At 41.9% G+C, this 21349-nt stretch overlaps 1 protein-coding gene and 1 long non-coding RNA gene across 7 annotated transcripts in view, besides 2 other annotated features; one reads left to right on the top strand and one right to left on the bottom strand.

Annotated features, from left to right (window-relative positions):
* Positions 1-3116: 3116 nt before the first annotated feature.
* The window catches only part of LOC105375238 (uncharacterized), a 58176-nt gene continuing 39943 nt past the window's right edge, over positions 3117-21349 (top strand). The window contains exons 1-3 of one of the 2 annotated variants that reach the window (XR_927185.2): positions 3117-3204; positions 3649-3735; positions 4236-4384. This is a non-coding gene — a long non-coding RNA (uncharacterized LOC105375238). Of the gene's footprint in view, positions 3205-3648; positions 3736-4235; positions 4385-21349 lie in introns of those variants that run through there. The other variant, XR_927186.2, reaches the window with a different exon arrangement.
* Positions 8971-21349, bottom strand: part of POU6F2 (POU class 6 homeobox 2) — a 490693-nt gene continuing 478314 nt past the window's right edge. For 4 of the 5 annotated variants that reach the window (NM_007252.4, NM_001370959.1, XM_047419843.1 and 1 more), the window contains 2 exons: positions 16857-17025; positions 8971-13390 (listed from right to left, as the gene is read on the bottom strand). In NM_007252.4, coding sequence (NP_009183.3) covers positions 12886-13390; positions 16857-17025 — 674 coding nt within the window. In that variant the 3' untranslated portion in view covers positions 8971-12885. The remainder of the gene's footprint in view (positions 13391-16856; positions 17026-21349) is intronic. The other variant, NM_001166018.2, reaches the window with a different exon arrangement.
* Positions 12069-12570: an enhancer, noted in NCBI's record as "H3K27ac hESC enhancer chr7:39504601-39505102 (GRCh37/hg19 assembly coordinates)". NCBI's record gives its function as "activates a minimal SCP1, AML or CMV promoter by ChIP-STARR-seq in primed H9 embryonic stem cells {active_cell/tissue: H9 hESC(primed)}" and the evidence as "EXISTENCE:reporter gene assay evidence [ECO:0000049][PMID:30033119]".
* Positions 14590-15091: an enhancer, noted in NCBI's record as "NANOG hESC enhancer chr7:39502080-39502581 (GRCh37/hg19 assembly coordinates)". NCBI's record gives its function as "activates a minimal SCP1, AML or CMV promoter by ChIP-STARR-seq in primed H9 embryonic stem cells {active_cell/tissue: H9 hESC(primed)}" and the evidence as "EXISTENCE:reporter gene assay evidence [ECO:0000049][PMID:30033119]".

The following is a 21349-nucleotide window of genomic DNA, read 5'->3' as shown; positions in this document are numbered from 1 at the left end:
ATTTATTGATATTTAATGGAAGTCAAGTCTGTTCCTATTGTCCTTAACAACACCTCATCCAAAGTGTACCAAAATAGACATTTCATCTCACATTGAGACAGCCAGGTGGAAAGGGCTCCCTGGCAGAGCCTCTGACCAACCTGCGCACTGGGAGGAATGCACACTGGCATAGAGCCACAGAAGTTCATGCCATTTGCAGCGGGGAGGAGCTGGGCCCCTCCTCTTCCTGGGTGGTACCTGGAATTCAATCTGTGAGGCAGGAAGCCTACACTAGCAGGAACTCTGGCCTTGCAGAGAGTCCCTGTTCCCCCTTTTTTCCTTTTTGCCTAATAAATCCCATTATTCTCACCCTTCAAATCATCTGTGAGCCTAAATTTTCATGGCCATGGGACAAGGACCCAGTCTTCAGCTGAAGTAAAGTCTTGCAACAACATGGAGAGCCTCCAAATCACAGACAAGGGATCAAAATTTCCTTCTCACTCTCTTTGGTTTAGAGAGAAAGGCTGAACCATTTTGGTATCATTTATGATAGTTTTTCTGAGAAAAATTGTCATCATTTGGATTCTGGACATTCATCATCTCTCAAGCTGGCCAGGTGCCTCCTTTCTCTTAGAGGTCTGGGCAAGGAGGGACTGGCCATGAGCATCTGCAGCTGAAGGAAGCACGGTGGCAGCTCCAGGGTTTCCACTTATAATTTGGGTTCTCATGCTTTGTTCCACTGGGATTAGACTAGAAGGGTAAAAAGCCACTGTGGCAGGTGCTGGGAGAAACACAGTGATGCTGGGAAGAAAGAGGGAGAAGTGTCACAAGAGGAGTGCCTGGGCAATGCCACGGGCACTTAGATCCAGGAGAAACTGCTCTTAGGCCTTGCAGCCCAGACAGACCTGGTCTTGTATCTTCATTCACCCTCTTGCTAGCTGTGAGACTTTGGGCTAGGAACTTACACTCACTCTGCTTCAGTTGCCTTTTCTGCAAAAGAAAGAAGCTAGTATCTTCTGGAGTTGTTTTATAGATTAAATGTGGGCAATACCCTTTACACAGTGCCTGGCCTGTTGCAATTGTGCAGTCAACAAATGGTAACTATTATTGTTGTAGTTGCAACCAGCATAGGGTTGCCAGGTAAAAAACAAGATTCCCAATTATATTTGAATTTCAGATGAACAATGAAACATTTTTATTATAAATATGCCTGAAATATTGCATGAAATATTCATCTGAAATTCAAATTCAGCTGGGTGTCCAGTGTTTTTATTTGCTAAATCTGGCAACCCTACACCAGTATGTTCCAAAACTGCATTCATTCATTCATTCATTCATTCAGGCAACAAATGTTTATTGGGCCAGGCACTGTTTTGGGGCTTATGAAAAATAAATCAAACAAGGATTGCTGACTTTGAGGGGGTTATATTCTAATTAGGAAGAGGCAGATAATAAACAACAAATATATTAAATAGTTAAACTACGTAGCGTATAAGATGATTACAAGTGCTATAAAAATGTTGAGTAGGTTATAGGTTTAGGAAGTGCTAGGAGGTGGTGGTGCAGATAGCAATATTAATTAAGGTGGCCCTCGTAAGCCACTTAAAAGATGAGGTTTGAGCAAAAACTTCAAGAAGGCCAGGGAGTAGGAACTTTCTGGGCAAAGGATACAGTTCAAGAAAAGCTGATGACCCAGGAAGGGCACCAGGAAAAGCCAGGAGGTGAATCCACTAGCATCCCATGAGGGGCACAACCAGATGAGCAGCCTTTTCCCAAGAGCCACTGCCCTTGCTGTTACTTTCAAGCTGCCAACTTCTGCCAGGCAGCTGACTTTCTGGAGCTCTTCTCTGGCCAGGAGGAAGTCTCCTTCCCCATTTTGGAACCAGCCCCTGGAGAAGGGCCGTGACAAGGGAGAGGTGCTAGGATGTCATATTTAAATTTTATGCATATCTGAGTGACTCCTTAAAAAATTTTGTCCCTTGTGGGCCTTGCTTGCATCACCCAGGCCTGGCTCTGCTTCTAAGGGTGCTGAACTATTTAATCTGGAATGCCCCAGCTCTCTCCTTCCTCTTCCCTTCTCAGCACTCACAGGATCTCCCAGTCATGGCTGCCCAGGGCTCTCTCTGCTGATCCCCCGACTCAGAGCCATCTTCCCTCAAAAGCCCCTCTCCCTCTAATCTGTGTCCCTGAGGGGAACTCTAATCTCAACCTTCTGCAAGTGTTTGAACCTCAATTGAGGGCCGGGTTTGAGGTCTTTCCCACAGGGTTCCTGGGCCCCGGATAAATCTAGGGATGTGTTTGAGCATCTGTTCCAGGATCTTCAAACACTTCAGGGAGGCAAGAAAGAGGTTTTTAGAACATTTTGAGACGGTGCCGGAGGTCAGCTTCCCCACAGATGAGGATTTGGGTGTAAGCGATTTATTAAGGAAGGACTTTGGGAAAACCTGGGAAGGGAGTGGAGATGCAAGGTAAGTGAGGGAGCAATTCCAGGTCATTTTCCAGGGTGGGCGGCTGCAGCCTGGTCCCTCCATCTGGAATATGCATGAGCCTTGGAAGTAAGTACCCAGGCCAGGAGCTGTGGGGGCCGGGGAAGTCATCCTCCCAGCTCTGGGGGGTAGGGATTTGGGGACATAAACTTCCAGGCACCTGGGGCTCTGTGCTCTTGCAGACCAAAGTGACTTGGTAGCTGGAGGAAGTCCTCCAGAAGGTGCAAAATGTGTGGGGGCCAAACCTTTTTGAAGCAGGTGGCAGGGTACACAGAAGTGGGGTGAAAGAATCCTAGGGGTTCTGGGTGGAGCCCAGACAGCATCACTATGGACGGCTAGGAGGTGGGCCCATGCCCAGAGTCCATGGAAGACTTATGGGGACTGTGTGGCCCCAAACCAGCTTAGCCCAATAGAGCAGGGGTCTATAAACTATAGTCTCTGGGCCAAATTCAGCCAACTGTCAGTTTTTGTTATTAAAGTTTTATTGGAACACAGCTACTACCATTTTTTACACGCTGCCTATGGCTGTTTTTGTGCTACAACAGCAGAGTATGGTCCTCAAAGTCTGAAATACTTACTATTTGCCAGTCCCTGTGATAGATCTTCATCCTGACCTCAACTCTAAACAGTGTTTCACTGTTATGCTTTCAGGTCTTAGGCCTTTCATCTGGATCTTGGAGGCTGATCAGAGTTTGGAGGTCAGGAAAAGGAGGAGCAACAGGCCAAGAGAACACAAAATGTAAGTAGAGTTTCCTGGCTGAGGAAGTTGAGGGGGTGCACCCACAAAATATTGAATGGTCTTGTCTGGCTAACTTGACGATGCTTCTCACCCTTCCAGTTTTGAGGAAAATAAGGGCAAAGTAAGTTTAAAGGAGAGAATCAGAAAATAAAGGACTTGGAGGAGGAGAATAAGGGATGGGGCCGTTGCTTTGCCAAGGGACGGGCAGGTGGCACTGATGTGTCCCCAAGTATTTTGCTCTCTTCAGGAAGTTTAAATGGACCCCTTCAGAGTTGAATGCTTCCTCTGAAGAGAAAAAATGGAGAAACAGGCTCTTATACTCTTGGGAGACTGCAGATATATTAATTTTTCTGATTTTTGTTCCTCCTGGGGAGTCTGATGGTTCTAGAAGCAGAAATAAAGAATACACATGCAAGTGCTTGAGCACACATTATGTTTTTCAAGGACTGGTTGCATTGTGACCTCCCAGGAACAGAACCAAGAGCCTGTGTGGACTCTTCCCCTCTATTCAAAGCGGCAAAAAACCCAAAAGTAAGTATTTGAACACTCAGGACACAGTAGGAGTGTGTTAAAAAGTAAGAGTGAAGCTTGTGCTGTTGGAAAGAAGCAATACAAATGTTCAATGTGTGTGTATGTCAGGGTGTGTTTTATCAAATTGGATGGCAGAGAATGATTTTGATGGGTTTAAGTCATTTCCCCAAGCCTTTGTATCACAGACTGGCTCCCCAAAAGGACATGTGTACAATGCTCACTGTGTGCATGGTATTGGCTATTGAAGGCCTTGATACGGTTTGGACTTATATGAAGATAAAACCATTCTTTGAATGTAAAGTGGAGAGGCTTACTTTAAGTAAGAGATCATCATGCCAGCCAGTATGAGCCTGCCAGTACCTAGGGGTGCATGTTTCCATGACTGAAATCCACTTTTCTTCACTCATACCTCTTGATTGGTTAGCAAAGCCTGTGTGGAAATGATCTCGGGCCTTGTGTCTCCCCCACAGACAACCAGGGGCTATTGTGTTTTCTTCCAGGATTAGCTGCATGGTGGGTCAAGTTAAGATTCTGGGTAAATAATGACTGAGTTTTGGCAACCCAAACAGCTGTGGCATTTCACAGAAATGGGATTTCAAGATATGTGAGTTCTATTTTTGGTTTTCTAATTTACCCTCTGTCTCTGAAGTTCAAGACAAACAATTAAAGCAGCCCATGAATGTTAAAAGAGCAATATAAAGAAAAACAGCTGAATTATAATAATTTATAATGAAAATATCTTGTTTCTTTGTATATTCTGATTTTTCTATAATAAAAATAGATTACTTATACAATAAAAGATTTCAACAATAACAAAAACTGGAAGGTAAAAGAAGCAAAACTGTTTCCCAAATGATCTCTTTTCCTTCATCTGTAGTCACAGATGTGGCCCAAGTGGTGACCAGATCCATGGATCAAAAATCCATTGTCTGAGGTCCAGTGATCCACTTCAATGATGCATTAGTTCAGGAGTTTAGTCAGTCTAAATGTAGGTAAGTCTTAGTGAATCTTCCTTTATGAGAACATTTATTAGTAGCATAAGTATATCTAAGCAGGCCTCAAATCTCAGAAAATAGTGCAGGATTTGAAAATGAGGACAGTAATACCTACATATGGTAGGTATCCAGGAAATGCCAGCCTCTTTTCTGCTTCTTTTATCTAGCATATTAATAAGAGCATCTGCAAAGGAGTTCAATATTATAGTTCACCATGAGTGTTATTATTGCATATGAGTTTCTTGCTCTTTGACTGAAGTTCGTTGTTTGGAACTACTTCAGTTCTGGATCTTTTTTGTTATATTGGCTCTCCTACCATTGCATATGTGCAAATAGTCAAACACCCTGGAAACGTCCCCTCTTTTAGAGGTGATGCCCCAGTGACCTCAGTAACAAAGCCCATTAACCCATACAGATCCTTTTACACAGATCCCAGACTTCAGTGATATAGAAAAGGCAATGGGAAGAGTGTGATTTCTTCCCGAATGACCATCTCAGGTCTGGCAAATGGTCAGGAGCACAACTAAACCTCTTTTTTTTTTTTTTTTTTTTTGAGACAGAGTCTTGCTCTGTCGCCCAGGCTGGAGTTCAGTGGCGCGATCTTGGCTCACTGCAACCTCTACCTCCTGGGGTTCAAGCGATTCCCCTGCCTCAGCCTCCCAAGTAGCTGGGATTACGGGAGCCTGCCACCACACCTGGCTAATTTTTGTATTTTTAGTAGAGACGGGGTTTCACTGTTTTGGCCAGGCTGGTCTCGAACTCCTGACCTCAGGTGATCCACCTGCCTTGGCCTCCCAAAGTGCTGAGATTACAGGCATGAGCTACCATTCCCAGCCAACTAAAACTCTTAAAAGTGACGTAAGAGTATCAAAGAAAGTTCTGGAATGGACCTTCCAGCCCAGGTCCCAGGCCAGCTTCCTATTTCCACATGCATCGCATGGTCTTTACTTGCTAGTGGGATTAGTGACTAGGGCCCACTGATTTTCTCTTTCACTTTCAACTGGTTTTAACTCATTTACCTTTGGAATCATTGGAATTGTTTTCTTATGTGGAGACCCTAAATCTCAGTGATAATAAAAGAATACAATGTATATAGACATTTCTAATTTCCCTTTATGTGTCCTTTACTATTTCTGCCAAGCAGTAAGCATTCAGACTAAGTTCACCCAAATCACAGTGGACTTGCTAATTAGATAACTGGTAATTATCCACAGCAGTAAGCCTTTCCTGAACTGCTACCATATATCAGATACTGTAGTTTTCACTGACACTTCAAAGACATGGCTGTATCAGAGTTTACTGTGTTTCAATGTATCCTCACCTTGGTGAATATTCTAGTTCCTAGTGTATTGAAGAACCAGCTCTATCTATGAACTCTGGGATCTTGGTGAAGACTATTAACTTTTATGATTCTTAGTTCTCATGTATAAAACAGGAATCACCACACTTCTTTGGGTTTATGTTAGGAGCGAATAAAATAATGTATACGAGAGAGCTTTGAAAAGGATACAAATATGACTGTTACTCTTATTAGACAAGGAAGATCTGTCACATGCAAATGACAACTAGTTAAAAGAACTTATTGCCAACTACACTTACCCGTAAGCCAAGTCCACAGGCCACTCAGAGATCAATGGCAGTCATTTTTTAATATTTCAGAGGTGGCTAATAAACATGCAAACTTGATAAATGTTCTGATGAAGGAAGCACAATGCCCGGCACATAACTATTTGTGGAATTGAACATAATTGAGGCTTAAAGAATGAATAGAAATTAGATAGGTCAACAATACTGTGGATGGACATTCCAAGCAGAGGGTATTGCATCAAAAGTACTTTGGGCATTGGAGAAATTTTAGGAAGTTTGGTGTGGCAAGGACATAACTCTATGAACTGGGAATTGATGAGAGATCAGGCTAAAGAAGTAGGCAAGGACCAGGTTGCAAAAGGTATTGTGTTCTGTGCTGGAGTCTGTTTCTCTTTCTGAAGGTAACGTAGGAAAGGTTTTAAACAAAAGAGAAATTTATTTATACTGGCCTTTTGACTACTCTGGGGTAAACATATGATGGATGTAGAGGCTAGGAGGAGCATATCATGGTGATCCAGGTGAGAGGCAGGTGGGTCTGAACTAAGTAGTGGAAGTGGGTGATGGAGAGTGGGAGACAGATTCAAAAGGAATTCATGAGGCAGAATTGCCAGAACTTTAGTGACTTAGGGTGTGTGTGTGTGTGTGTGTGTGTGTGTGTGTGTGTGTGTGTATAAAGGGGTTGGGATGACTTCTAGACTTCTGCTTTGGGTGGCTGATGGATAGAGCCATTAACAAGGATAAAGCAAATAGGAGAAAGGCCCTGAAGAGGATAAGTGATGTTAATAATTGTTTTAAGAAAACAGGGAAATATTTCACATGTTTTAGAAAGGTTTTCATGCAGTGCACTGAAGTTCTCCTTAGGTGTCATCTTCTTCCCTTGACCATGGCTTTCCTCAATGTCTGGTAGGTAAGACAAATGGGTGCATTTGGTTGGACTCCTTTCGAAGTGCAGAACAATGGATGAGGAGCTCAGACTTGTCTTTGTTACGTGTTAGTTTTATCTACATGTTGCTTCTGAACTCTTTCCAAGCATAGATTCTTTATTAAACTCATCACCCATTGTCCTGCTACACTGAATATATTGTGTGCATATGGTTGGTTTAGTAGAAAATTGTTATCGGAACAGCTTTTGGAATCATTTAAAAGATACTTGTGATTGTATTCTAAGCTTAGGCTGTTCCTACCCATCCATTTTCAGTTTTGAAGTCAGCCTCAGAATTGCTTCCTATCATTTTAGTTTTGAAATTTATTTTTGAAATATTATACTATAAGAAACATGGAATTATTTTACTTTTTGGAGAAATATCACTGGTTTTTGCACAATGAATATGAGTTTACTGAAGGCAAAGATTCTTTTTGTTTATTTCTGAGTCCTCAGCACACAGGATTTTCTGACACATTAAATGCTTAGCAGATATTTGTGGAATATGGAATGATTAAATGTAAATGATGTCTGTCCTTTTTAAAGAAGACATTTTAGAGTTTCCTAGGTCAAACATATTTCATAATAGGCATAATCATAGGCAGGACCTTTGCCAATAATATTTGTAGAATATTAAATATGGAAAGAAAGCCATTGAAAATGACTTTATTTTTTGTTTTTTCCCCACCCTTCAAGGCAGAAGTATCAGCATTTTTTTTTCTTTTGCCCCTTTTAAAGTCAGGCTTGGAGCTCCCTGGCCCCTTCATGGCTCATTTATAATGCATGGTCATTTGGATTTTTGGTTTTGTTGCTCACTCCAAAGCACTTCTTATCAATCACAGTATGAAGTTGATACACAGATTTCCATGTAGCATAAAAAATGTTTGCTAAAGGTCACTGAAAGTATGGCGATTATGACTCTAAATTTTTTTTACTGGTATTTTAGCAAGATGATCCTATTTTCTGAATTAGTGAATTATATAACAACATTCACTCTCCCCTCCTACCCACACTAAACTTCAAGCAGGAACATATGCCAAATGTCCAATTTTCCAGAACATGCCATTACAGACATTACTTAGACTAGCAGATCACTCTTCACCAACAGAACTCTCTACGACACCTGGCACACAGCTGGGTGTTAGTCGTAGAATGTGGTGGCTCTGGGTTTTGTCTGCTCATTACCATGGCTCTATTTTTTTGTCTTCCGGTTCTTATGTGTACTCCTCTTTCAATCCTTGTGGTCCCACAGGGTCGTCAGAGTGAGGCCCCACCCTCCCCCCACAGACAGGAATGAGCCTGTGACCATGAATTTATGTGCATCACCCCGCAGCACCAGTGCTTAGTTTAGAGAAGGGCGCAATGATTCAAAGCCTTAGAGTCAATGGTTAGAGAATCCATCTGAGAAGGAAGCCAAGCAGGACAGGCTGATGACATCTTTGAAACCACTGAATCCAGCTGTGCTTCAGGTCCACAACGGAACTTCCCATTAAGTCAAACAACACAGTACCTTTATGTGTAGGCAAGTTTCAGTTGAATTCCTATAACTTGCAACCAAAAGAGTCCCAATGAATACAATATGTCATTTGAAAAGTTAAAATAATCATGATATTAACCAATCTGTCTTGAACCCCTTCCTTTCCTTAACATTTGGGGTTTTAATGTACAGTTTTTAAAATGCTGACAACTTAAATGACATATCTGAGTGTGAGACACACTTAGCCTAGAAGCTCATGTCAAACAATTATTTATTTTTTATGGTACAAATTAAAAGTGACAGATCTGAAGCTGTTAAGAAATACACAAAGTGCAGCTTTACTGACCATACAGATATTGCTCTAGATTAAGTACAGTTTTTTTTTTTTTTAAATATTAAGCAACCTGTGCAGATAAAATCAGCTTTGGTTTCAATGTCAGAGCAAGTAAGGAGCTTTTAAATATTCAGTTTGGCTTCTTGGTCACAAGTCTATCATGTCAACTTCTTGTCATGATGATTTTTCCAAAGCAACCCAGTCCTGTTTCCTGCCCTCCCTCCTGCTGCCTGCTCCGGGCACGGAGAAGCAGATCTCTTTGTGGTGCCTCATAAGTGACCCCGGTGACCAGTCTAGATCACAGCACATAGGACAAAAAAAAAAAAAAATCACTTTCTTAACAACAAATAAACAAATGTGCCTCACATAATTTCAAGTTGAAGACAAGCAAATCACATGACAAAAAGCTCATTACAAAATGTTATCCAAACAGATTTTACAGTCAAACATTGAAATGAAAATCAATTTCCTTTATCTCAATTTTTTTTTAAGCTTGGTCATTAACTGGGTACAAGTAGAGTGCTGAGGTAAAACATTGATGAACAGTTTGTATTTCTTTTTTTTTTCTTAAAATAGGAACAGTTTAGTATTGCGAGATTGTCAGCAACATTTAGCCATATCTATACAATGTGCATATACCTACAAATATTGAGCTTTGGTCCAGCGTAGAGAAACGAGCAAAGGCATTTTACGATTTCTTTTTGGTTATAGCTTGAGTTCTTTGATACACCTCTACTTGTTTTGTTTTGTTTTTTTCCTAGCTCCTTTTGCTTTTTTGTTCTCTCTTTTGTGTTGTATGTGTATGTGTGTGTGCATCTGTGTGATGACAACATAAAGAAGCCAAAACCTTGCAAATGCAATTAAAAGTTTCAATTGTTCAAAATATTTTCTTGGTTGAAAAAGAAAGAAAATCTATAAACAAGTGTAAAATGTAATATCCACTGTCATTTTTTCATGAAGTAATGAAAATGCAGATAACAATAATTAAAAATTATGTGAGAAAAATACTGAAGCTTGAAATACAATCACATATGCCCAAAGTGGCTTTTATTTTTTGTGGGTGGCAACCTTAACCTTCAGTTCATGGAAACATAAAAGACACTTAAACGCCATTGGCATATGAAGTTGTTTACAAGTAGACATGAGAAATGTCATCATAAAATTAAGCATTAGGTGTGGTCCCAAAGACTTATGAGTTACACAGTATAATTTATATTCCTAAGAATCGGTTCAGGCACCTTTTTATGCCTTGTAGCAAAAAATTTATCTGTAAAAAATTAATATAAGAAGCATTACAACACCTTATAAATAATTTATAAAACAATACAAAATTATAAAACTATAAAAAAATCACTGCACATGAATGGTGTTACGACTGTCGGATGAATATATTTCTTTTTTGTTCCACTCTGGAAGATTACTTTTATTTTATATTTTCCCTGTCCTAGTTAGACCCTCCCAATTATAGATCTCAGAACTGAGCAGGCCTTATGTAACCGCTGCCGGCATATATTTAAATATTTAGCATCCATCATATGTTATCTTGTTAACTTCTCTTCGCAGGGAGCTTTTCTTGATGGAATTTGGAGCAGGTCCTAGGAGAATCCAAAATCTGTTTTAATCAATAAAGTTTTGGGTTTCTGGGTTGTCCATGTTTGTGCAGTTTTTGAGGTGGCGAAAGGGGCTCTGTGATGTTGGCATTGAAGATCAAGTTAGCTGTGGTCCAGTTAGCATTGACTGGTAAAATGGAAACACCTTTACGAGTGACTTGTTCCACTTCCAGGATTCCTTTTAGAGTTTCCTTGCTGGTAGTCTCTTGATTGCTGCATGAATCATTGGAGGGGACAATTATACTGTAGCATTTACACAAACAGCAAAGGAGCCAACAGAAGAAACTCAAACTCCCCAGGGAGAGGGAGTGTATTAGGGGAAGGAGATGGCATTTCTAATCAGTTGGGCAACTTGAGATTGGGTTTCTCTTTTTTCTTTCACAACTTACTTCTAGATAATACATTAGCATGATTATAAATTATGCATAAATATGTACATTTCAACAGCAAGCAAATTGACAGCTCTCTTTTGCCTGCTCCTTTAATGGAACACCGTCTGCCTGTACCTGGGTGAAAACACCAGTGGCAGCTGCCAAGTGCTCACCTGCACAGCCGTCCTCACATCCCAACATGTCCTTGCTTATTAGGTTATTGTGGCCCACAGATCTTTTAAGTTATTTTTTTTAAAGGAAATAATCCTCTAGTTCTCATATTGCAGGCTATTCTGATTGTTAGATAAGCCCCTTCTATATTTTTTTCTTTTGGTGAAAGCTTCTTCAAACTTCCTTTCCCCTGAAGAACCTGGCCCCCAATTCCAGTTGTTTAAATTTGCCCGCCACCTTTCTGCTCCATTTATATATCCCGAAGAGTAATTATTCCCCCTGAAAAAAGTCTGCCATCGCTATTGGAATGAAAGAAGTAGCAGAAAAGATGAGATTAACAGGATACACGATGGCCTTTAATGATCCAGTTGCTATCACTTTCTTTTTAGCCTGTTTCTTTGTGTGTGTGTTTATGGGTGTGTGCATGTCATGTGTGTATTTGACTGAAATCTTGAGACATTTCTTTGGCTATCAGACTTCTGAGAGAAATTGCTTTGCACAGAAGCATAACATAGATGTAAGTATTGAACCAAATGTGCAGCTTATGTTTATATTACAAAATTAGTTTTGGTCAGCTCTCCATGTACGTGGCCAACAGACTGAGAAAAATCCCAAGCTCTGGTGTGGACAGTGAGCACAATTACAGCTTATGCCAGTGTTGACAGTTCATCGAGCAAAGCCCTAGTTATTTTGGAGTCTCTCCTGCATTTCACTAGGATCTGAGTGGAAAAGACACTGCTTCTCCCCACTTCTGTGGCCTTCCAGCAGACCCCAGGAGCCACGCGCGAGGGAGATGGAGAAATGGAGGAAAAGAGAGAAATGCGAGCTCCATTTTCTTTTCTCAAACCCACAAGTCATAGTGAGAAAAAAGCAACAAATGCTTTGGCACACGATCCAGGATGCCCTCCCGTCAAAAAGAAAGACAAAGAAAAAAGACCACCCTCCCTACCACCCCCACAAAAAAACCCAATAGTGAGCCTCACAGAATGGCTTCAACAATGGTACCCACCCCATGGGTGGAGACAGTAGATGGGAAAGATGGGAGAAATCAGGCTTCCTATTGTTCTGTTAGTACAAATGTAAAAATTCGTAACACAACTTTACGTGCGGAGAAGCGTAGACGAACGATCGCGTTGCAATGCCATGTTTCTGACTTTGGTTAATAGGTTTCATAGTGAATCAGCACTTAGTACCTGAAGGGGTGCAGTCCTTCCTCCAGGTGGCAGGCTTGTATTCGCTTTGAACAGATCAAAGTTTTTGTTCCTTCGTTGTTGGTTTTTGGTTTAGTTTTTTTTTTTCTTTTTCCTTAAAATGTGTTCACATTTTCATAATATACAGAAAAAAGTACGTGGTTATTTGGTTTGCTTTAAGTCCATTAAAAAACTGGCTTTGGGGGAGACAGGTGGGGGAAGGGAACTATCCTACCACACACACCTTCAGTGTGGTGTATTCCTTGTTTAAAAATTTTCTAAAAATTTTCTTCTTTCCTTTTTGGAAAACCAACGGACATGTAGAAACCATTCTGTCCACTTGGTAGTTTTCTTAGTCATTTACTTACAAGGGTGATGACGACTGGGGCTATTTTTAAATTAAATTAAATTTTGTTGTTGTTGTTGTTGTGGAGTCCCAAGGGTGGAGTTTAGTTTCTGTGAATTTTGCTTCTGATTATGGGTGGGCATCTCTTTAGGAGTTTTCTTCCAGAGAGTCTGTTAAGGGCTCCAAAGGGACTGCCGTGGCCGGCTCGTGCTGTTTTAAGCGTTTAATTGTGTTCTTCAGGGCTTGCCTCTTATTGCAGAACCAAACTCTAACTACTTCTCGGTCATAGTTCAGCTTCTCAGCAATTTCGGTCATTTCCTGCCCAGAAGGGTGTGTGTTCTTCTCAAAGTGGGCATTGAGGATCTCAAGGGCCTGGGGTGTGAAGGAGGTGCGCCGCTTGCGCTTTTTGGATGGTTCACTCCCGATAAACTCGGTCAGGTTCTGCATACCTGCTCGATGGCGGGCCTCAGCCTCAGCCATCCACCGCTCAAGCACCGGCTTGATCTTCTGGGCACTTTTAGGGGTGATGTCCAGCTTTTCAAACCTGGCAGGATACAAAAGGCCAGGGTTCAGTTTGGCTGTCAGACTGCTAGCTATAGTGTTCTCTTGGGCTTCCTGTGGTAGGAAAAAGTGGCTTCTCAGGATGGTGTGTCTGGGGGGGAAAATTGAGAAAGAACAGTCTTACACTGAGTCCTCTGCCAGGGTGGGCCTCCTGCCTGCCTGCCTGACTGCCTGGCAGGGCGAATTTACTGCAGGTTAATAGCCAGCTGCAAGGTAGCCAGCCCTGCCCAAGCCAGCGCCCACCCTCCCAGCGTGCTCCATGCCAGACCATGCAAACCACACAGGTGCACAGACAGGGGTGATGAGAAGCAGAGACAGCAGGATGCATGAGCTATCATAACATATCATAGGCATGCAAACAACTCACAGGCCTTTTCCCTATAAACTCTGAGATCTAAGCATTTATTTGAATAGTACCAGCTCCATTTCTCAGTCCTCAGACTCATGAAGGCAAAAATTAACGCTAAGAAGTGACATCAAAGATGACAGTTGTCACATTCTTTCATTTAAAATGATTCTTTACGTGTTTTACATTTGGTTTTCTTTAAATTACCCCCATTGACTTGGTTATAAAAATGTTATTGCTATTATCATAGTCACTGATGGCCATTGGGACTTTTATATGGCTCTCTTTTTATCTCTCTTTTGTGTCTCATTTTGACTTCTCTCTCTTTTTCTCTCCCTGGGAACAAACAATTTTCACCGTATGTAAGTTAACAACATGCCCTTTTTCCAGGTAAAACATTACCCATTGCTACTTTCCTGTTCTGGCTCAAACAGCTGGACACATTGTAATTACTATAAAACACCCCACCTCTGGGTGTACTAAGGCCACCTCCTGCCTTCCAAACACCAGCCGGTGTAATGGTGTACTTTTGCACCAGGGCACCAAGCTGTGTTTAATGTGTGATATCTGCAAACTGTACTTGAATGATATCATTTTCTGTAAATGAGGTCTTCTATATATCAACTGCCATCAGCAATTCTTTGCTACATTGACTTTAAAAAATATGAAGCGTCTTGGACAAAATTATATAGAGTGTTTTAAGAAGTCGCCCTGGTACCAAACTCACACTCACTCTCAATGAAGTACAAAAAAAGTAGGAATTCCTTTTATTCGTTTGTTTGTTTATTCTAAATCCAAATTCACAACTCTCCAGTATGACAGCTTTGGATACACAGAATTCTCCTCTCCCTTTTACAGTGTCCCATGCTGTTGAAAAACTTCTGACTACAGAGTGTATTTTATTTCAATGGTCTGTTCTCATAGAGCTAAACTGAGCCCATGTTACTCAGAATATGTTTTGTAAGGATGCTTGCAAAAGGACAGAAAAGGATAGGCTTTCTTTATGTGCCACAATCTTATTTTTGGCAGCACATTTTAGATCTCTTATAATGTGATAAGCAGCACAAACAGAACCAAATTTTAATGCAATTTCCATAGCATTCCCTTCCATGTAGAACTCAAGGGTTATTTGTTTATTTTTGAAAAACCCAGCTTCCAGTACTGGTCAAGGACGGAAGGAGTACATTTACTTTCAATACAGAGTGAACTGATCATTTAATGTTATTTAATGAACTTGTCCTTTATGGCAAGCTCCTCAAAAGCTCTCATTGTTGTGCTAATTTGCCACATACCACATTTTGCCATCGTTTGCCATAAAATCCCCAAAGCTTAAATATTTGATAGCGTCACAACAGGCTTTACAGTGTCAAGGCACGAGGGGACAGAGGTTGTGATAGGGCTGATCAGTGTATTGGTAATGCTTTTTTCTCTGTGCCTCTGATAAGGAGGGATTTAAAGCAGCTCCTAGGAGTCACTGCAGCTCATGAGGGACAAGCGATGCCTGAGTGTGCAGCCTCCAAAGCAGGTTCCTCACCACCCTTTGAATTCACTTAAATTGTTCCAATATAAGATCTCGGTCTTTCTTTCTTTTCTTGGTAGATAGCTCCTAAAACGATCTCACTGAAATACTGGAAGCTAGAGAAAGGCCCAAAAGTCAAGGCATCAGACATGTTCTATTATACTAGAAATTCCCAAAGTCTCCACATTTCAGCCACAGCTTTTTTGACCTCTCTCTGGGGGTAGACTTTAGAAATCAACATACTTTATTGGGAATGCCCAAGAAGTGCTAAGTGTATGAGTTAAACATTAGCCAGCACTTGTATCAATAAAAGAAAATCACGTTTTAGGACTAAAAATAAGCAAAACAGGAATTTAGCACCAATAGAAAATTGGCAACAACTTAAAAACCTGTGGCTGCCTTTATCCCAAGGCTGTCAAGATGAAACAAAATTAATGTTTCCCAACAGGGAGCAATGGTATTCATATCATGGATGCTGTTTGTTAGTGTTGACACTTCTGTACATGTTGTTTGGAATAACATATACAAGCCTTGAAACAAATTTCCCAGCAGTAGTATCCTTGTATAGACTGAATAAAGGTTATTTTCTACAGGGAGGTATCTTATAAGAAAAAACAGTAGGGGAGGCCATAGAAGTGAGAGGATCCTATGGTGCTTTTTGTATTTAACAACAATCAATGGGTTTTATGGGAAATCATTGAGCAAAATGTGAGCTGCAAGCTACTACCCCATACTGATGTTATTTATAACCTTAGTCTTAAACTGCAGGAAAAGTACACTTCCGTCCTTTGGGGAATACATTAAAAGTATAAAGAGCAGATAAAAAGACAGCATTTCATGGATCACCAAGAACAAAATCCACTTAAATGAGTTTAGAGTTGGTTTCTTGGCTTTTCCTGTTGGAGGAGGACTCATAAGGTATTGCCCAAGAGGAAAAAGCTCTTACCGAAGTGCCTTTGTTACCTCATGCATAAACATGGGATTAGTGCAACACACACATGCATGCACGGGGCCTGCTTCTGACCACTTAACCCGGATCAACTTGAACACAACCAAGGCTGGATTCTGTTATTCATTTATTTAATTTGGGGGAGATGAGCAAGGTTAGGCCAGATTCTCACTACCCTTTTCTGAGCCATTTAAAGCAGCCACCGCTTCTTTTCTTTTATTTTTTATTTCTTATAAATGTGCTTTTAAAGCTGTGTCTGGGAAGGCAAGTTAAAACCTTCAAGGTCACAAGATAGTTAATTTTTTTTTAAAATGTGTGTTTTCTTGGAAAATCCTGATAGCCATCTCTGGGCAGAAATAGCAAAGGCGTTAACACAAATTAGGAATGGCAGCTTTACAACATTTGCTCAGAATACCTACGTGCAGACAAAGTCGGTGGCTCTCAGCTGCATAGGAGTGTGGGCCCAGGAGGAAGGCCCCTGACCCTGGGGTAGTGTATTTCCAATGAGACTGCCTTGGAAGTTCTTTGTGAGTTGACAGGAGTTATCAAGCCAGGACCCCCAAATTTGCTTCAGCAGCGTCGTTTGCATCAAGATCACCAATCCCAACATATAGCTGCCCCCAAACTTTGTTCCCACTCTCTGCCCCTCCAGCTTTGCCCACCCGACGAAGAAAAGCTGAACCGCGAGGACAAATGAGGCCCAGGGCGGCTAGAAGAGGTGACAGCATGCAGGCGCGCGTTACCTGCAGATGGCCGACTGGCTGTACGCGGGGCCCTCTGTAGCACTGAGAGCCTGTCCCACCTGAGTCTGGGTCAGGCCAAGGGACAGGCGCCGGATTTTAAAAGCTTTGGCAAATTCTCGGATCTCCTCCAGATTAACCCCATCCACCTCACCCGCTGCCGTTTGAGGATCTGTGGAGATGTTTTTAAAAATAGGATCAATACGTCAACACACAGCCGAGCAATATCTGTTTATTACGGTTTATAAGAAAGTGGCTCTCTTTAACAGCAGAGCAGTGAGGAAACCAACCTCAGAGAATGTTCGCTTTGTCTCCCAGGTGAGACACCCAACACTCCATCCGCAACTCATTACACCTCCACAAATCATCCTTCGAGATGTTTCTGTCCCAGATAAAACCACAGCTTGTTCACACTGCCACTTCCCCAATGCCAGAGCATGTTCCTTAGGGCTTAACAAATAACAGCCAGCACTGGGAGGCACTTGCTATGGGAATGCGACTCCATTTTGCCCATAAGTATGTTCAAATATTGTGCAAAAATATAAAAAGGGAAAGGTTTCCATTTGAAATGTTTTAATTAGCATATTTAGTGCTAAAAATTGCTCTTGAAGACAATAGTATTTTGTATTTTTCCTTCAACTGATCGCCAAAGCAGTCAGGCTAACAGCTAGGCTAACAGATGATAATGTTGCCTAATTTCTTACATTCACATTAGTCCCTCAGAAGAGCATGCTTATGAAACTGCGAGAATGATATTGTCTTTTTCCCCCCATAGCAGTTTACTGACACAGACGCCTTTGTCCCCTGAAAGGGCACATAATAAAAAATGCCTACCACAGGAAAGCTCCTTTGGTGCCTGATAACGCGGTCAATTTAGGACTTATCAAGGGAAATGACACAACAGCTGGAGAATGAAACTTTTCCCCCCCTGGCTACTGATCCCTGGATAAATGAAAGCGTACACCAAGCTGGAGACAGCATGGGTTGGGGATGGTGGAAGATTTCAAAGTGCTACTCAATCCTGCCTGTAGCAAAGCCATTCTCCCTGTGAGCTGACTCTATTGTTCTTCACCTCATTCCTCGGACTTAGGTGAAAAGTTTTTCTCTTCCTTTTTCTGCGCAATAGCCCATCAATTTCAGTAAATTTGAGTACTTGTCCAAGGACTGTGGCAGACTATATTACTCTTCTGGGCTGAGAACTATGGAAACTCTAGTTGTCGTGAAACAAAACAAAACAAAACAAAACAAAACAAAACAAAACAAAACCCACAAAACCAGAACATTTGCACGCCAAATGCCCATTTTCAAGGACTTTTAAATAAAGATGTTAATATCTGTGGGGAGCTTGGAGCTTCATGTACAGATTTTCTCATTACTGGGGAGGGATCTTCTCCAGCCTGAGGAAAATGGACTCTGTCAACAGAATCAGCAAAACAGGTATAGATTGTCTTTTATCTTCACATTAAAACAACAACGACAAAAGTCCTGTAGAATGTCATTACTCATAATTTTGTTGTAGAAAGATTGGAAAGTGGTACAACTACTGCAATCAGTCTAATTATTTTTGAAAAGTAACTTCTGGGAGTCTGGAATGGAGGGAGGGGCAGTTCCAGCCTCAGAAACAGTTCCAGCCTCTATGGAGTTTACAGTCTATAGGGGGTTGGCATCCAATGCTAATGCATTAGAAACAATTAGAGAAAAGTGTCAGGCAGAGTATAATCAAGAACTAATGGTATGACATCCACACCGGGTGTGCAGAGACAGGAGAGTGGAGAGGAGGGAGGATTCATCTAGGTCTTCCCAATGGGCAGTTTTCAGAGAATGAAGGAGCCATATAGTCTGGTCAGTGGTGACAGCGTGCACACAGGCAGAAATGCAGGGAGGAGCAGGGCACCGTAGGGACCTGTCAGGTTGGTAGGGTGAAGCAGGAGTTCGTGCTAGGAGTAGTGAATATTTCAGTGTAGCACACTGAGAATCTATGAGCTCGGGCGGGGCAGGGGTGGGCAGTGACTATAAAATTGGTTTGACTGTTAAGATGAATGGAAGTCCTGTTTTTTTCTCCCAAAACTACTCCCAGAAGGCAGGCAACCCTTGGCTAATGAGATTTGTTCGGGCCGTCCCTAGTGGAGGCTGTGCTCTGGATTCCAAACCCCACGAGCACATCAGCCTGGAGCTGCTTCCGGGCTCGCTAAGGATTGTGGGAGCTCACTTCGGCAGTCGCAGTCTCGAGCCCTTTTTTCCTTTCCCCGTGAAAGAAATCCCTAGAGCAAAAGTTGCAAATGAGCAGTGTGCAAATAAAACCCAGCTTTCCTAGTGTTTACATAAAAAAAAAAGCACTTGCTAACATGTAAACATTTATTTCTAAAGGAAAATCTTCATTTCCCAAACTCTTCTGAATGTTAGAAGATTTGGCTGCTCCGGATGTACATTTGCACTTGGTAATGTCCAGTGGGCTGGAACTGATTCTGGCTGCTCCTTCAGCTCCTCCTCATGTTCACACCACCCAGCCTCCAACCTGCTCCCTGCTCAGCCCGTTTTGTGACCCTGCGTTTAAAGCATGCGTTTCCAGTGAGGCTGATATTGGTTCTGAGGGGGAGGCAGGAAAAGTCTTAGTACAATGGTGTGGTCCCCCAAAGGGCCATAGTACATCAACAGGGCAGATGTGCAACATATCTGTGGTATTAAAATGTTATGGGGGGGCGGGGTGGGGAGGAAGGAGGGCAATTAAGATAAAAACAAAACACCTAAAAATGCTGCTTGCAGGGGGAGTGGGGTGATAATAAAATAATAGCTGAGAAACTCTGGTTTAGAGCAGAGAGTACAGAATGGTACAGTGAGAGAGGGGTCTGGCCTCTCTGAGAGAGGGAAGAAGGGTTTGGCAGTCTTGCAAGGGTGTGAGCATGGAGGTTTGAAACTGAAAAGATGGAAAGCTGGAGACGTTCCATGTAACAATATCACTTTTAGGACTGTGATTTTCTTAATTTGGCAGGTATAAGAGTCACTGCTTTGGGCCCAGGGATGTGCATTTTTAACAAGTAACACAAGCGATTCTGATGCAGGGGATCTGCTGACAACTACAGAAAGAAATCTTTCTTTGTGGCCCTGGCTTGACCAAGTCTGGGTGTGGTGCACTCTGTGTGCCATTGTCTTTACTGATCCTTTACCATTATTCAGCAGGCTTCACTACACAGAAAACTTGCTCTCTCACCTGTATAGGACTGACGGGCCAGACAGGTCTGTTGAGGAGGGGCTCCGGAGCAGGCATCCCACCCTGGCCCTTTCCTTACCCCACTGTCACTACTTATGGCAAGTGGCCAAGATCTGGGAATCAGCGGGCTGGGAAAGTAAAATTTTTGCCTTTGTTAGCCCCATCTCTAGATCAGCGAGATTCAGTTGGATTAACCAGTATGTGAGGGGCAGGTCTTTAATCTGGAAGGGTTTCCATGGTCTACTCCAGTCCCAAGGCCTGTGTTGCCACCAGACACTGGCACAGGATTCGGCAGCCCAATGACTTGGGCTGACATTTTATGTAAATGTGTCCTCTAATCTTTCTTCCCTTCCTCTGCCGTCTCTATTGTTTATGTGTCCTTACTAGTTCCTTGAGTCTATCAACTAAATCCGTATGTGTGATCGTGCAGGCTGCTTTTTGTCAGATCACTGACAATAACAAGAGTTGAAAAGGAAGCTGTGGACTTTTAGTCTGTGTGCATTGATGCTGTTGTGTGGATTATCAAACTTTCACTTTAAAGCTCAGAGGGATGGGAGCCTGGGCTACTGAGCCCAGTATCTTCCATGAGGCCCCCAAGAAACAGTTATTCCACCAGGAAACTGAATTCCTTCTTCTTCCTCTGACAGTTTCCACTCTTGTATTTTCTCCTGGTTCTACTTAGCTCCGTGATAAAATAGAAATTCTTATGAAATTTAAACAGGGTGATGGTCCATTGGACAAAGTAGCATCTCTCTGCAAAATTTGTTGACTGCCAGAGGTGAACACTCAGATTTCTTTATATTAGTGTTCTTATCCAGAAAACTCAGATGGCAAAATATTATTGTTACCGTTTTGCTCCATGGGTTCTGAGACTACAAAAGTCTTCCCATTCAAAATGGGGTCCACTTCTAGATAAACATTAGCTTTACCCTGATTACTACCTGTGGGACTTGTCTTCACACTTTGGGAGAATTCATTAGATGCTGTCTGTAAGATGTTTTGAATTCATCAAAAGACGAATGCTCTTTTTTTAATCCCAAAGTTTCTGTCTTAAACTCTTGAGGTTGTTTCACTGGGAGAAGAGTTTCCCTTCCTTAAGGAATATATACTTTTCAGCTTGAAAAGGGGAAATAAGAGGTGATTGTGATAAATAGAGTCCTCCCTGGAATGCTCCCTCAGCTCAGAATTTCACATTCTGTCCTGGGATAGTTCAATCTGGCTTTCTGTCATCTATTCTCCTGGCTCTGGGGAGGTTGGGTTCATTTTAAGGATGAATCTGAAGGCCACC

The sequence above is a fragment of the Homo sapiens genome, chromosome 7 (genome assembly GCF_000001405.40).
Source record: "Homo sapiens chromosome 7, GRCh38.p14 Primary Assembly".
NCBI lineage: Eukaryota > Metazoa > Chordata > Mammalia > Primates > Hominidae > Homo > Homo sapiens.
Note: the sequence above shows the minus strand (reverse complement) of the source record. Positions and strands in the feature narration are given on the sequence as shown.